Source organism: Homo sapiens, chromosome 3 (assembly GCF_000001405.40).
Source record: "Homo sapiens chromosome 3, GRCh38.p14 Primary Assembly".
Lineage (NCBI taxonomy): Eukaryota > Metazoa > Chordata > Mammalia > Primates > Hominidae > Homo > Homo sapiens.
The window spans coordinates 157,160,798-157,176,257 of NC_000003.12; the positions used below are offsets into that span (position 1 = coordinate 157,160,798).

General features: G+C 43.0%; 1 long non-coding RNA gene and 2 pseudogenes across 1 annotated transcript in view, besides 4 other annotated features; 1 reads left to right on the top strand and 2 right to left on the bottom strand.

Annotated features, from left to right (window-relative positions):
- Positions 82-131: an enhancer, noted in NCBI's record as "active region_20740". NCBI's record gives its function as "activates an Ori minimal core promoter by ATAC-STARR-seq in GM12878 lymphoblastoid cells {active_cell/tissue: GM12878}" and the evidence as "EXISTENCE:reporter gene assay evidence [ECO:0000049][PMID:35858748]".
- Positions 152-211: an enhancer, noted in NCBI's record as "active region_20741". NCBI's record gives its function as "activates an Ori minimal core promoter by ATAC-STARR-seq in GM12878 lymphoblastoid cells {active_cell/tissue: GM12878}" and the evidence as "EXISTENCE:reporter gene assay evidence [ECO:0000049][PMID:35858748]".
- KRT18P34 (keratin 18 pseudogene 34) lies at positions 1,807-3,182 on the bottom strand (annotated as a pseudogene).
- The window catches only part of LOC101928236 (uncharacterized), a 220,247-nt gene continuing 217,689 nt past the window's right edge, over positions 12,903-15,460 (top strand). The window contains exons 1-2 of the long non-coding RNA XR_007096141.1: positions 12,903-13,758; positions 13,952-14,592. This is a non-coding gene — a long non-coding RNA (uncharacterized LOC101928236). The remainder of the gene's footprint in view (positions 13,759-13,951; positions 14,593-15,460) is intronic.
- Positions 13,121-13,243, bottom strand: RNA5SP146 (RNA, 5S ribosomal pseudogene 146; annotated as a pseudogene).
- Positions 13,552-14,751: an enhancer, noted in NCBI's record as "CDK7 strongly-dependent group 2 enhancer chr3:156892138-156893337 (GRCh37/hg19 assembly coordinates)". NCBI's record gives its function as "activates an origin of replication core promoter dependent on BRD2, BRD4, P300/CBP, MED14 and CDK7 cofactors, with strong dependence on CDK7, by STARR-seq in HCT116 cells {active_cell/tissue: HCT116}" and the evidence as "EXISTENCE:reporter gene assay evidence [ECO:0000049][PMID:35650434]".
- Positions 14,038-14,417: an enhancer, noted in NCBI's record as "active region_20742". NCBI's record gives its function as "activates an Ori minimal core promoter by ATAC-STARR-seq in GM12878 lymphoblastoid cells {active_cell/tissue: GM12878}" and the evidence as "EXISTENCE:reporter gene assay evidence [ECO:0000049][PMID:35858748]".

Genomic DNA, 15,460 nt, shown 5'->3' on the forward strand with positions numbered 1-15,460 from the left:
CTTGCGAAACTCCTGCCCGGCCTTTGACACCGCCACGGCTTTCAGTAATCTGGAAAATCCCTAGTTTCCAAAAATAGTCTTAGGGCGAGGACTTGACAGAGGTAATTTGATTATGCCTGGGAGTCTCTATTCATACATGGTTACCTACCGCGGGTAGGGTGAGGTCAACCTCGTGTTTTTTGTTTTTTTTCCTGTGATATTAGCTAGCAATTTCCAGCGTTTCCTGAACCTTGAAGTAAAAACAATGATACTGATCTAAACTACTAGAATCTAGGTTGGAAGGAAAGGAATGCATCACGTTTTACTCTTGACGCTCAGAAAGCGATACCCCAAAGACAGAGGCTTTAGAAGCTGCCTCATAATGCAGGTCCCCCAACCTTGACTTGTTGCTCCCACTTTTCCCAAGTGCAGGGAGGTACTCTCTGAAATTTCCTTTCCTGACTAGAGAAGCCTCTTTGTAGAAGAATCAATCGCATTCCTCCCCTCGCTGAAATCTCGTATCCTATTTCAAAAAGACTCAGAAATGCAGCCATTCCTGGAGGGACTTTTTCACAAGATTACTCAAAAGAAAATTATTTACTAATTTCTGTCCATTCATTGTTCCTAATAATCATTTGCTGCTCCTCAAAATAAATGTCTACATTTCTCATCTACCCTTTCCCCTATGAAAAAAAGATATAAAATCTTCTGTACTCCATTAAGCTACTGGGTAATCATCCTCCTGCTTTTACCCCGGTGTTATGTATCCCTTTTCTCCTGTTAATCGCCTGTTATCAGTTGATTTTTTTTTTCTTTTTTTTTAGATAGAGTCTCACTCTGTCGCCCAAGCTGAAGTGCAGTGGCGCGATCTCGGCTCACTGCAGCCTCCGCCTCCGGGGTTCAAGCGATTCTCCCACCTCAGCCTCCCCAGTAGCTGGGATTACAGGCACACACCACCACGTCCAGCTAATTTTTGTATTTTTGTAGAGACGGGGTTTTGCCATGTTGGCTAGGCTGGTCTTGAACTCCTGACCTCAGGTGATCCGCCCGCCTCGGCCTCCCAAAATGCTGGGATTACAGGCATCCAAAGCGCTGGAATTACAGGCATGAGCCACCGCACCCGGCCTTATCAGTTGATTAAGTGAACCTTCAGTGGGCAAAGTTGTTTTAAAATGTACTGATACTTGAGCCTTGCCTGCAGAGGTTGATGTCACTGATTTAAGGTGGGCCCAGCCAGTGGTTCAGTTTTGCCTGTCTTCGAGTGATTGGAATGTACAGCCAAGAGAGTGTAATTATGGTGCTGGCAGAAGTATTAACCTATCTGGATGTCACTGTCTTCACTTTCTGACTAGGCTGCTTCCAGGGAATCTTTCCACCTCAATATTTATGAGATATCTATAATTTTATAACAAACTTTTAAAGGAGCCTCGGTTTCCTTAAACACAATTGATGACACCAGTTTTCTGGTTTTCTTCCATTTTTGTTTATAGAGCCAGGGTCTCACTGTGTTGCCCAGGCTGGCCTTGAACTCCTGAACTCAAGGGATCTTCCCACCTCAGCCACCTGAGTAGCTGGGACTATAAGTGGCACACCACTGTGCCTGGTCAGTTTTCTGGTTTTGATAATCTATGGTTGTGTGAGATATTATCATTGGGGAAAGTTGGAGGAATACATAGGAGTAGTCTATCTTTGCAACTTCCATGTCTTATTTCCAAATAAAAAGTAAAAACCCTCATTGATTATGTACTTCATTAAAACACTGGACTTCAATGAAATCATCACCTATATTTGTAATGACTTGAGAGTAATATAATTTAACTTTTTTTTTGACTTCTGAACTTTTTATTGGCCTCCTGCTCCCCAAAGGGTACCCTGCTTCTGATGGCTTAATGTCTCAGAACTTGGGTGTCGTTGGTCTCAGATACCACTTTGCCATCCACTATCCAGCAGATAGTGGTCTTTTGGATGGTTTGCATGGAGTTGCTGCTGTCCAGGGCATCACCAAGATTGAAGTCCTTGCCATCTTCCAGCAGGCGGCGGTAGGTGGCGATCTCAGCCTCTAGCTTGACCCTGATGTTCAGCAGGGCCTCGTACTCCTGGGCCTGGCACTGTCCCTCTGCCCAGGCCTGTGCCAGCTCTGACTCCAGGTGCAGCAGGATCCCGTTGAGCTGCTCCATCTGCAGGGCGTGGCAGGCCTCCACCTCCCTCAGGCTGTTCTCCAAGCTGGCCTTCAGATTTCTCATGGAGTCCAGGTTGATCTCCAAGGACTGGACTGTATGTCTCAGCTCCGTGAGCGTTATAGCAGCTCCAACCTCGACGGACTGCGTGGTGACCCCTGTGTTGCTCTCCTCAATCTGTTAAGACCAGTACTTGTCCAGCACCTATTGGTTCTTCATGCCAGCTCATCATATTGGGCCCGGATGTCTGCCATTATCTTGGTGAGGTCCTGAGATTTGGGGACATCTACCTCCACAGTCAACCCAGAGCTGGCAGTCTGGGCTTGTAGGCCTTTTACTTCCTCTTCGTGGTTCTTCTTCATGAAGAGCAGCTCCTCCTTGAGAGCCTCAATCTATCTCCAGCTGCAGCCGAGTGACATTAGTGTCATGGATTTTGTTCCCATGGATGTTGTTCTTCAGAGGCTGGCACGTGGCCAGCTCTGTCTCATACTTGACTCTAAAGTCATCAGCAGCAAGATGGGCATTGTCAGTCTGCAGAACGCATTGTCCACAATATTTGTGAAGATCTGAGCCCTCAGGTCCTCAATGGTCTTGAAATAATGGCTCCAGTCTCTGACCTGGGGTCCCTGCTTCTCCAGGTGCTCCCGGATTTTGCTCTCTAGCCTCCGGTTCTCGGTCTCCAGGCTCCTCACTCTGTCCAGGTAGGAGACCAGGTGGTTGTCAGGTTTTGCATGGTCTCCTCGGTCTGGATGCCTCCCATTCCTGCCAGAACCCCGGCCATCCCCGCAGTCAGGCCCCCGGACCTCATGCTGCCCCAGAAGCTGGTGGAGCGGGACATGGAGATTCGGCAGCCAGAGCTCCCGGCGCCTGCACAGACGCTGGCCATGCTGCTCACCAGCCAGGAGTCGTAGCTGGGTGCCTGGACAGAGCCCAGGGACCGGTAGTTGGTGTAGAAGGCGGAGTGAGTGGTGAAGCTCATGCTGTCCAGGGAGGAGGGTGAGAGGACAGAACTCAGGCTTTGCCGACCAATTTAACTTATTTTTAAGACATATGTTAATAGAAGATTTTCTCCTCTTTAGAGTCTTCCACCATGCCTCTGCAATAAGCTGGCTTGGTGATGTCTTGATATACTTTATATTTTTACCCACTACATTCATGGTTAATCCAGTAAAGGTTCACAAGCATAGGAGGGAGAAGTCTGGGGGATGAGGGTGGGAGGAAGGTCCCTTTCTCTCTAGCAGTGCTCCTCTCTACTTCTGAGATCTGTTCCCAGTGGACCTCTACTCTCTGCTTCCTGTATCTGGCAGTCATTTCCAGGAGAGCAGAGCCATCCAGGGCAGTTCCATAATTTTGTGCCCATTTCCCACTCATTTCTGACAGAACCTTTCATTTTATTGACAACACATGATTGTTTTTACTGTTCCTCCCTCCAGCTTCAACAAAGGTGGAGGGGGTGGGTCAATATTTTATATAGGTATTTACTTAGCATTAACTCTTCAAACTGTCATGTTATTTTAAACTTTAGTTTCATTTTTTAAAAATCTATGACATACCCTAATTGGAGGTGACAAAAAAAAAAAAATCATGGATAATCCAGAGGATGGAAGGCATTGGGGCTAGTGGCTCTACTCCCCAAGGTTTTGTAAGGATGGAGGTTTTAAAAAAAATGAGTCTATATCTGTGGATGGAAGGAAAAAATAATTTTAAAAAATGATAACTCTGTCCTATTCTTTCAGGGTCAAATTCCAGAAAAATCATACTTTGGAAATTCTTTTCTTTCTCTTTTCCTCCCCCCGCCGCCCCACCCCCACCCCCAACACACACACACCTTTTTTTGAGACAGGGTTTCACTCTGTTACTCAGGCTGGAATGCAGTGGCATGATCACAGCTCACTGTTGCCTCGACCTCTCTGGGCTCAGGTGATCCTCCCACCTCAGCCTCCCAAGTAGCTGGCACTACAGATGTGCACCACCACTAATTTTTGTATTGTTTTGTAGAGACAGGGGTCTCACTATGCAGCCCTAGTTGCTCTGGAACTTCTGGGCTCAAGAGACCCGTCCACCTAGGCCTCCCAAAGTGTTGGGATTATAGGAGTAATCCACAGGGCTTGTCTGTGTTAACCTTGTTTCTGTTACTTTGAGGAAGGTTGCTTTTCCAAATGTACCTACTTACAAAACATCAACATTAAAATGCAGATTGGGAAAGACCGCTGGGCGCAGTGGCTCACACCTGTAATCCCAGCACTTTAGGAGGACAGGGTGGGAGGATCGCTTGAGCCCAGAAGTTTGAGCCCAGTCTGGGCAACAAAGTAAGACCATCCCCCCTTTAAAAAAAAAAAAAAAGAAAAGGAAAGAAAAAGAAAACAAAAGTGGAAAGGGTAAGACCTAGTCACAATTATAAAGGATTCAAAGTTTGGAAGAGTGAAGCTCATGTTTTTTTGTTTTTATTTTATTTATTTATTTACTGAGACAGGACCTCACTCTGTTGCCCAGGCTAGAGTGCAGTGACATGATCAAAGCTCACTACAGCTTTGACCTCCTAGGCTCAAGTGACTCTCCCACCTCAGCCTCCCCAATAGCTGGGACTACAGGCACATGCCACCAAGCCCAGCTAATTTTTAAACATTTATTTTTTGTACAGACAGAATTTCACTACATTGCCCAGGCTGGTCTTGAACTCCTGGGCTCAAATGATCCTGCTGCTTCCACGTCCCAAAGTGCTGGGATTACAAGTTGTGAGACACTGCACCTGGCCAAGCCACCCCCGCCTTTTTTTTTTTTTTTTTTTTTTTTTTTTTTGAGATGGAGTCTTGCTCTGTCGCCCAGGCTGGAATGCAGTGGCACAATCTCAGCTCACTGCAACCTCCGCCTCCCGGGTCCAAGCAATTCTCCTGCCTCAGCCTCCCCAGTAGCTGGGACTACAGGCACACGCCACCGTGTCTGGCTAATTTTTGTATATTTAGTAGAGATGGGGTTTCCCCATGCTGGCCAGACTGGTCTTGAACTCCTGACCTTATGATCCACCTGCCTTGGCCTCCCAAAGTGCATCAGCCACTGCACCCGGCAACCAAGCCCATGTTTCAATTGTATATGTTGGTGCAATAGTAATTACGGTTTTGCCATTTTAATAGCAACGCAATTACTATTGCACCAACCTACTATAAATGCATTATTAGAAATGAATCCAGGTAAGTAAGATGAGACTACTGGAAAGTAAATGATTGAATTCCTTGTCACTCTAAGAAAAAATGTAATAGTAAGTCTGTAATTGTACACACACAGCAGAGGTCTGAATAGTAGACCCTGAGTTCACCCATGTCTAAAAGGAAATCCAATGATAAGTAAACATATCATTACATATTACTGTTTCAACACAGGCAGGCTTCCAGTGACAACTGAAGAGACAAGTGGAATTATCAGTGGCCTACCTGAGGCTACTGAAGAATGATACACCTGATGTTTAAATTAGTTCTCATTTTACTAGACTCTGTATCCTCTCTGGGGAGCATGGTTTTCATTATTTAAATTTCAGGTTCTTTAATCTTAAAATCACAATTGGCATCATTCCATTAATTTCTTCAGCAATCACCAGTAGACCACAGGAATTTAATACCTTGCCACCAAAACTTAGGCAAATTAAGTCCCCAGCTAGAAGGAGCTACACTCAATACACAGAAAGACAAATGTTAAGGTGACCAGCAAGTGTAAAAAGCAGGCAGAGAAGGGATAAGTCGTCATGCTTGTTGCCATTATGGAGAGGGTATAACCTTAAGAAGTTGCTAATCACATTTCTATTGATGGCAGGGAGGAGCACCTGACTTTATGCATGAGCTGTTCATGTAGTTAAATGACTGTTATAAAACATGACCTCTCTGTTATATGAGTACACACACTCTGAACTGGTTGTTCTCTTCATTAGAAATACAGTCACTCTGTAAATGATTTGTAATGAACACTTAGGCATACGCTGCCTGGTACATCTCCTGATAGCCCTGGCCTGGAAATTCTGCTGCTGACTCTGTTGAGAATTAGTCCTGAGACTTTGGGCAAACATAGTTTTCTCATCTTTAAAGTGAGGGAGTCTGACCCTTGCAGGTCTAAAATTATTTGTCTCTGGTCATAAACATATCTCGAACTTCAGACTCATTTTTGGTTCTTATTTCTTCTTTTTGTGTTAATCACCAAGTTCTGTTGGTCCTTCCTTCTAGGAAGGAAATTGTTTTTGAATCTCCCTGTTCTGTCTATTCTCACAGCTACACATCTGCTGTTACATCATGGTTGGACCATTATAGTAGCCTCCCAAATGGTCTCCTTGTCTCTATTTTCTCCCATCCTTATTTGTCCTGGGAAATCTCTCAATCTTTTTGAAATACCAATTTCCCTACCTCACTTTTTTGAATAAAAACTTTGGAGATAAAAAATAGAGATTGTGACTTCTTGGCCTTTTGACTAAGATCAAGTGTAAAGGATAGAGATTAAATATCTTTTGGCAGTTGAGGCTTTCCACAATCTAAATTTACCTTGTCTTCTGTTTCCTTGTGACATTACCACCTCACCTTATTCCCCACTGTGTTTCTGCCTGAACCAAGACCAACTGGACCTGTCTGCTCACTAACAAACATGTTATTTACTTTCCCTCCTTCTATTTCTCAACCCTGCAAATTCTTACTACTCCTCCTTGTTAATCAAATCCTAGCAACTTTTTTGAGACTTGGGATGTTCTACGTTTTGCCGAAAGCCTTCCCCCACCTAATCTAACTTATGCTAATTTTCTCCTTTCTCAGAGCCTCTCCTAGCATTTATGACCTCTGGTATGTATTTTGACATGTTTCCTTACTATTAAACGTTATTACTGATCTTATCATGGGTGTATGTCTGGACAAAAATAAGACCATTTTACATTTATTTTGCATCCTCTACAGCACCTGGTAGACACTGTGTGTATGTTAAGCACATAATCAGCACCCGTGGACTGAATTTGCCCACTTGTTTCCTAGTGCCTTTCAAAGACAACCTGGTTTTGCCTTTTCTTTTCCATTCAGGAGCTAATTCTATCCTCACGTGTCTGTCCTACCAATACAGCCCTCTCTCCCTAATAGAGGGTCCAGGGCCCCCATTTATCCTGTTCTCTTTGCAGCACTTTGTAGCAGATCAGCTGTGTTTCCACATTTGTTCTTTGTTTTCTTACAGTGGGCTACTTAAATAGTCCATAACTTCTGCTCCATACAGGCACGGGCTGCAGAACAAGAGGCCTGTTGGAATTGCCATAACCAAAGAGATTGTGTATATTGTGGGGGCTGGGGAGTGGGTAGAAACTCACAGAAAGCAGTATGGTGAAGGGTTTTGGTGTCTGGTATACACGCAGGCTCTGGGACAGTTTTGGAGATAGGTCTGGAAATTGGGTATATGTGACGGAGATGTATGGCCAAAGGCAATTTCATAAACAACTATAAAGTCAACAAACCCACAAATTTGCTTTTAGAGCTAAAGTTAATATTATGCAGTTCAGTCTCTCTTTTTTACACACAAGAAAACTAAGGTCCAAAGAGGTACTTGCAAATAGTAGATAATAAATATTAGCTGATTGCAAATAATCTAATCAAGTCAGTCTTTAGACAGATTCATTCTTTATGGTATTTAATGTCAGAACGAACTAGTCTTGGTTTTAGTCAGCAATTCAAGACTAAATCATACTTGTCAGCATGATAACTAAACAGGACCCATCAAGGGAATCTGGCTTTGCTGACACCTTGATTTCAGACCAGTGAACCTGACTTAGGACATCTGACCTCCAGAACTATAAGAAAATAAATGTGTGTTGTTTTAAGCCATCAAGCTTCCTGTAACTTGTTACAGCAGCCCTAGAAAATATACAGTGACCTTAGAGATTCTTCAAGTAAAGGTAAACTTCAGTAATATCTTTATCTCAATAGCACTGGAAAATCAGATAAGCCATATTAATTATGTTTTTTAATGTTATCAGATGTGGGCCACCAGCCTTAAGCCAGAGGGAGCTTTGTAAGACAGGAACATATAAAATGATAAAAGCTTCTCTACGTACAGTTTTCCTGACTCTGATTCTGCGTGGGACAACCAGTGAAAATTGCAGGTGAAGAGAAGAAATGCGTATTTATTCCTCCACTGGGAAAAAAAATACCATCCAAAGCTACATGACTTGAGGTAAATTAATTTGCTTATTTAGGCAATTATTTAAGCTCAGTTTACTCACCAATAAAATGATAACACCTACCACAAAAAATTGTTAGCACATAAAATGATTATAGATTAATTCATGTATTTTCCAGTCCTTGGAAATGCAGATTCCCTATGTGGTGTTGGTCAATGGTTAATGCCTGTTGTTCTGGCCAGGGATTTTTGATCTGCCAGCTGTGAACAGTTTGTCTTCATTCATTCATCTTTAAATTCTTACTTATTAATTGACAACTAAGTACCAGGTTCTATTCTAGGCATTGGGAATGTTTCTTTAAAAGTTTCTAAAAAAAAAAATAAAATAAAAGGTTGGATCTCTGAGATATATTATTAAGTGAACCAAAGGAAGTTCCAACACAACATGTATAGTATGATACCTTTTGTATAACATTATGTATATATCATATAGAGATATGTATATATCTGGCCAGGCATGGTGGTATGTGCCTATAATCTTAACTACCTGGGAGGCTGAGGCTGAAGGATCTTTTGAGGTCACAGGTTTAGGCCAGCCTGGACAATATTGTGAGACCTCATTTCAAAATTTAACAAAAAAAAGAAAAAAGGAAGCAATATGTATATATTTGGAAGGCTAGATATGATGCTGCTGCCTTTGGGGAAGGTAACAAAATCATTTTGGTGAAAATTGGGGAACACAGGTAGGTGGGATGGAGGCTTTCATATTTTACTTTCTGAAGTTCTCTGTTGCAATGCTTCTCAATCTATAGTGAAGAAACACATTTGGGAAACTAGTGTGGAATGATACTTCTGTAAAAATCCAATAAAGATATTAGTAAAATGATTTTTAGTTTTTTCTTTTTTTGAGACAGGGTCTTGCTTTGTCACCCAGGCTGGAGTGCCATGGCATGATCATGGCTCACAGCAGCCTTGACCTCCCGGGCTCAAGTGATCCTCCCACCTTAGCTTCCCAAGTAGCTGGGACTACAGGGTTTGCACCACTATGCCTGGGTAATTTTTAATTTATTTTGTAGAGATGGGGTCTCACTGTGTTGCCCAGACTAGTCTCAAACTCCTGAGCCTCCCAAATTGATGAGATTACAGGCCTGAGTCACCTCATCCAGCTGAAATTTTTAAAGACATTGAAAATACAAGCCTGCATTGTTTATCATTAGATTCAACAGACATCAAATTATTCTGTCAACATGCCATAAAAGTTTCTAAACGTTTACTCTCAATTCTTCACTTACCTCGTTGAAGATGGGTAATAAGTTCAGAGTCAGGTGCCAGTCCTTGGGCCACAGGCCACTTTTTGAATGGCATTAAATATATATAAATTAATATATATGTAAATTAATATATATGTAAATTAATATATATGTATAAAAATATATTAATTTATGTCCCTGCAGACATGCCCTATATTCTACCCCTAGGATTTTCAGTTACATGAATACATAACTCCTTTTTATTTATTTAATCTTAAATCCAACTTAATGGAAAGACTGATAAAAGGAATATTGTGGTACGCTAGAATGTGGAGTCTATAGATACACACACACACATATTACACTGAACATATATGACTTATAGAATTGCCATGCCTTGAAAAAGAATTTTGACTCAGTCTGGTAATAATAGAAACAGATACAATGCACAGAAGGGGTTCAGAGGATGGAGGAATTTTTTTTGACAAGGTAACAAAAAGGAGGTAATATGTGGTCTAGGTTTTAAAGACTACATTCATAAACATTGGTCAGAAGGATAAGTGTGGAAGACCATTTTAGGCAGAGGGAAAACAGGTGCCAAGATGGGGAGGTATGAGATCGCTGGGTGCATTGAGAAATACAGTGAACATCTGTGTTTCAGCCTGCCCAGTGCCCAGTCTCCCTTCCTCAGTTCTCCCTTGAGGACCTGCAACTTCTCCATTCTCAGCAAAAGTGGTTTGGGTAGGACTAACCTCTTTCCTACTTTGTGAACTAATCTGAGTCTCCCATCGCCCTTCCCTCCCACACAGCGATTGGTTCTGAATGTCTGTCATGTCCAGAACTCTTGCTGGAACACTTGCAAGGGGAGGAGAGAGAAGTGCTTGTTCTTGCTGGGATTACTGAGAGGAGGATTTAAGCACAGAGCTACTGAGTGCCATCTTGACACAAAAGAGAACCAGCTGGAGAATGGAACCAGCAGAGAAAAGAGCAGAGACCAGAGCTAGAAACAGAATCCAATCACTTAGTTTATTTCCCTGCAGCCATGCCCTGTATTCTACTGCTGGGATTTTCAGTTACACGAACACTTAACTCCTTTTTACTTATTTAATCTTAAACCCATCTTAATGGAAAGACTGACACAAGAAATACTGTGGTGTGCTAGAATGTGGTGCATACGTGTGTATACTAGGGACTAATGTGGCTGAAGAGGTGGGCGAGGGCAGGCATGTCAGGCATGTGAAGGGCTGAGGAACAGACCCTCATTTTAGGGGACTCTCAGAAACTCTGGAGGGTTTAAAGCAGTGTTTACCTCAACAAGAAAATCAAGAGCTATAAATCAGAAACTGTAATATTAAGAACATTTAGTTTTTCAAGCTTTTCTAGTAGTTCATTTCTTTTTATTGTTTGTCTCTAATAATTACAAAACTTGAAAACAGGAGAAGGAGGGCTACAGAAGTAGCTGGGGCTGGAGCAGTGACTTCAGGGACTGGAGATAGCCCTGTACAATTAAAAATAGAAAGGACCTAGCAAGTCCCTGGAAATGACATTTTTAAAATGATTCCATTTTCCTCTTAAGGATTAAGTTGTAATTTTATTTTGAGCAATGAAGTGGCTGACCCCTTTTAGTAATGTTTTCTATTTCATAATAAACATTCAACAGAAATAGAATTTCAAGAGGAAACTTTTATAAATAATGAGAATCAGCTATTCCGAAGCTCCCTACACATTTTAATTAGTTTTCTCCCAGGAACACATTCATTAACTATTTTGAACACTATAAAACAAAAGTAAACCAGCACCACATCAAGTTCCCTGCGTATAGCTGTCATGTCTGTTTAAATTCTATAGCAGTTTGTGTGTGTGTGTGTGTGTGTGTGTGTGTGTGTGTGTGTGTCTTGTGATATTTTTCACAATTCCAGGCCAACTACTTTGAAGCATGTTCCTAAATTTGGATGTGTCTGATTATTTCCTCATGATTAGATTCAGGTTAAAGATTTTTCAAGGAATACTCCATAGGTAATGTTGTATCTCCATGCTTCACATCTAGGGGCACACGATGCCCAATTTTTTGTTCAATTATTGGCTACTTTTTATCATTTGTTAAGGTGGTATCCATCAGATTTCTCCATTGTAAAAGTACCTTAACACCCTTGCAATTAATAAGTAATCCATGGGATTATTCTTCCACAGTAAATAGCATTCTAACAAATATCAGTATCAAAGAAAAATGGCCCATAATGAAATTTTGTACAGTTAGAATGACTCTAACAAATCTCTACTGAGTATTCACTAAACTATGTTATGCTAGGCACTAAGACCAAAGTGATGAACAAATAGAGTACATGGAATGCTACATGAAAGGGTAGAATGCTACAGGAGCATACAGGAGAGGAACAAAGACCATTACATGTGAAGAAATGGAAGTTCAGAGATGTGAAAGGACTCGACCAAGATTTTAGATCCAGTAGCAGAGTGAAATTAGAACGGTGGTTTTTCTGATGCCCAGTCCAGTGTTCTTTCCATGACCACACACAAGGGCTCTACTGTAATGTTGGTTCTCTGGAACAAGTATAGCATTTGTTACCACAGTGAAAACAATGATACCTTAGTACTAAAAGAACAAGCTTTCTCCAGATCTACCACAAGGTGCTTTAGAGGGAATTTCGATTTAAACTATGTGCATTGTAACATTGAAGTCACTGGAGACCTAGTCTAGTTTTGCCTCAGGGAACTGTTTCTTTATAGTGTCACTGTCACACACACATGCACATACACACGCAGGCACATGCATACAGCACATAACTGGATATTGCTTATCAGCCCCATCTTAAAAATAGCACAGAACAAGACTTTTATTTTCAGCAATCAGGAAACGTTCAGAGGTATCTACATCCTAGTCTTGAGAGTCGACTTATATTTGATACCTGATTTTTATAGTTTTCACAGCATTTTCATATACTATCACTGGACTCTCAAAAACAACACAGTTAAGGCAGGTGTGATTGGGCACAGCTGTAGTACCAGGTACTCAGGAGACTAAGGCGAGAGGATAACTTGATCCCAGGAGTTCAAGTCCAGCCTGGGCAACATAAGGAGACCTCATCTCTTAAAAAACACCTGAACTGGCCAGACGCGGTGGCTCACGCCTGTAATCCCAGCGCTTTGGGAGGCCGAGGTGGCTGGATCACCTGAGGTCAGGAGTTGGAGACCAGCGTGACCAACATGGTGAAACCCCGTTTGCGGTGTTAGCCAGGTGTGGTGCCGCATGCCTCTAATCCCAGCTACTTCAGGAGGCTGAGGCAGGAGACTCACTTGAACCCAGAAGGCGCAGGTTGCAGTGAGCCAAGATCGCGCCCATTGCACTCCAGCCTGGGTGACAAGAGCAAAACGCTGCCTCAAAAAAATACAAAAAACACAAAAAAAAACCCCACCTGAATTATTTCTTAAGGTGGGAAAGAGGGATCAGTGTAAAATGTTGGCTGGATTACTGTCTTGCCTTTAGATATAAAAATATCTAGTGTATACTTAATTTTCAGAATTACAAAATTAGGGAATGATCAAACGTATATATATATTTTATTTTTCAAAAGCCTGCGGCACCCAGTGTTTCAAGGTGGTCTCGCATTCAAGGACTAGCTAAGCAGGTCAGACCCTGCTTAGCTTCCAAGATCAGAGAAGACAGGGCAAGTTCAGGGTGGTGTGGCTGTGGACCATGTTTTTATACCTATAATTTATTTATATTCATTCACTCAATCCTGCTGTATGCAGGACGATCTCAGCTTCAAACTCAAAAGCTGGATCTGGTGGTCAGCTCTTTCAGGCACTGTTTTGTCATGGGATTTAAAGATCTCTTGTGCTTAGTTTTGGATCTGTAAACATAAATCCCAACCTGGATTCTTCCCTGGGCTGACGGAGTTCAGGGAGAAAGGTAGCAGTAGATAAGTCATATGCTGGAAAAGCTTGGACTCTACCCTGTCATGAAAACTTTCAGGAACATTTCTTATTTCTTTTTAGAGACAAGGTCTCACTATGTTGCCCAGGCTGGCCTCGAACTCCCGGGCTTCAGCAGTCCTCCCGCCTCACCCTCCGATGTAGCTAGGACTACAGGACCGCGACCCGGCGCTGCCTAAGAACTGTTTTTAAACGTGAAAGCCACGGCTATCATTTGCTTTTTGCTCTGCTCTTCATCTTCTGGATAAACCTCGTAACACACTGCTTGTTTTGGGGTAAGTGAATTTAAGTATTATTATGGCATTTCCAATTTTCACGGAAGGACTCTGGCGATATCATAATCGTCACAAGCCCTGAAACGGCCATCAGAGGTCAAGCAGGGAGGTGGGTTTTCTGGAGGGCTTAACTGTGGGGTAAGTGACTGGAGGGGGCTGATCAGTTTCCCCTTTCCCTTTTCCCGGAGCTCAGTGGTAGTCTGCTGCCTACGCCCCGTCAGACAAGTGGCCTGAGTCCCCCGCAACCCCTGCAGGTCCGGCCGCCGGCGCCAAGCCTCAAGGCATCCAAGCCAGGAACGATCGCGGTCAGCTCTGCCACGGAACATGTGCAAGACCCGGCAGCAGGTTCCGGGGGAGGCGAATTGATTTCACAACGGTCGAGAAGGAGGACCCCGCCCACTTCGTCATTTCTCGGAAGCCCAGGGACTCGCCGGAAGAGCGGCTCAAAAGCCGGAAAACTGGCAAATCCGAGTCTCCCGGCGCATGCGCGGCGCAATCGGCTTCGCGTGGTTGCAGTAGAGAGGATCCCTCCGCCAGCCACTGCATCCGGCGGCCGGATCTAACTTACCCGCTAGCGTTTTACCCTTGCGCGGCCGTGGCGTAGGGCGGTCTTTTCCCTTGGTCCTCCGCGGCGCCGCCTCTTGTGACGTAAGCCGCAGAATCCTCTGTCTTAGTTCGGCTCTATTGCCGCGAGCTTGACTCTTCCTGGGTCTGAGGAAAAGTAAAAGTAATTTTGTCATTTCCTGAAACTTCAAGTTAAACCTTTAAGCTGTTCATTTCCTAAAAGGGTGAAAACGCGGGCACCCCTCGAGCTAGTTCATCGCCTTTTAACCTGTGAGTTCTGTTAAAAGGAAGTAACTGCAAAATGTCTTCGCTGTTAGGTTTCTTTGGAAGTTTTGGGTTGTGTTCATGCGTTCTCTCGGCGTGTGAACTGGGAGAAAGTGGAGTGCCAGCCATATGAAATGACAACTGTATATGGAGGCTGGGAAGTATAATGCGCATTCTGGCTTGATGAAATTAATGAAATTTTAATTAAGTTTAATTTTCATTTGAATTACCCAGGAATAGCATCTTGAAAGGCGGGGCATAAAAAGCAGTTAAAGAGCTTCGAGAAACGGTTACTCGTTTTGTAAACTAAAGACCAAATGAAAATCCAGCTGCACTAGAAAAGAAAGAAACTTATAAGGGCCGAAGGTTTTGTCTGCAATTTACAGCTAATTAGTCTCAAAGATTTCTGTGATTTGCCCAAGAGAGGTGGAGTTGGGGCCACTGCTTTACCCAGGACACCGCCGCGGCCCGCTTGAATACTGCCGCCGTTAGGACCCGCCGTACCTGGCCGTCCAGGGCCTCTTTTCTTGTCTTCCACTCTCACTTGTCTTTTCTCCCCTTTCCATGTTTTTGGTTCCTTTCCTGAGTTTCCCTTGTCTCCACTCCCCTGCCCCTTTGCTTCCTCTATCTCTTTAACTTCTGTTTTCTTGATGGTGGAGCCAACTTTAGTTTCCCTTAAAAGGCCATAAAAGGAAATAGAATAATTTTAAAAATGTCTTTTCATAAGGCTTGTTTTCTTGTCTTAAGCCTGTTTTTTGGTGGGGGGTGAAAAAGTTCATATGCAGATAGACATAAACTTCTTTTGGTAAAAGCTGCCCTCTATTTTCTTCCATAGCTGTCCTGTGAAAGTAGGAGTGTGTGTGAATGGTGAAGC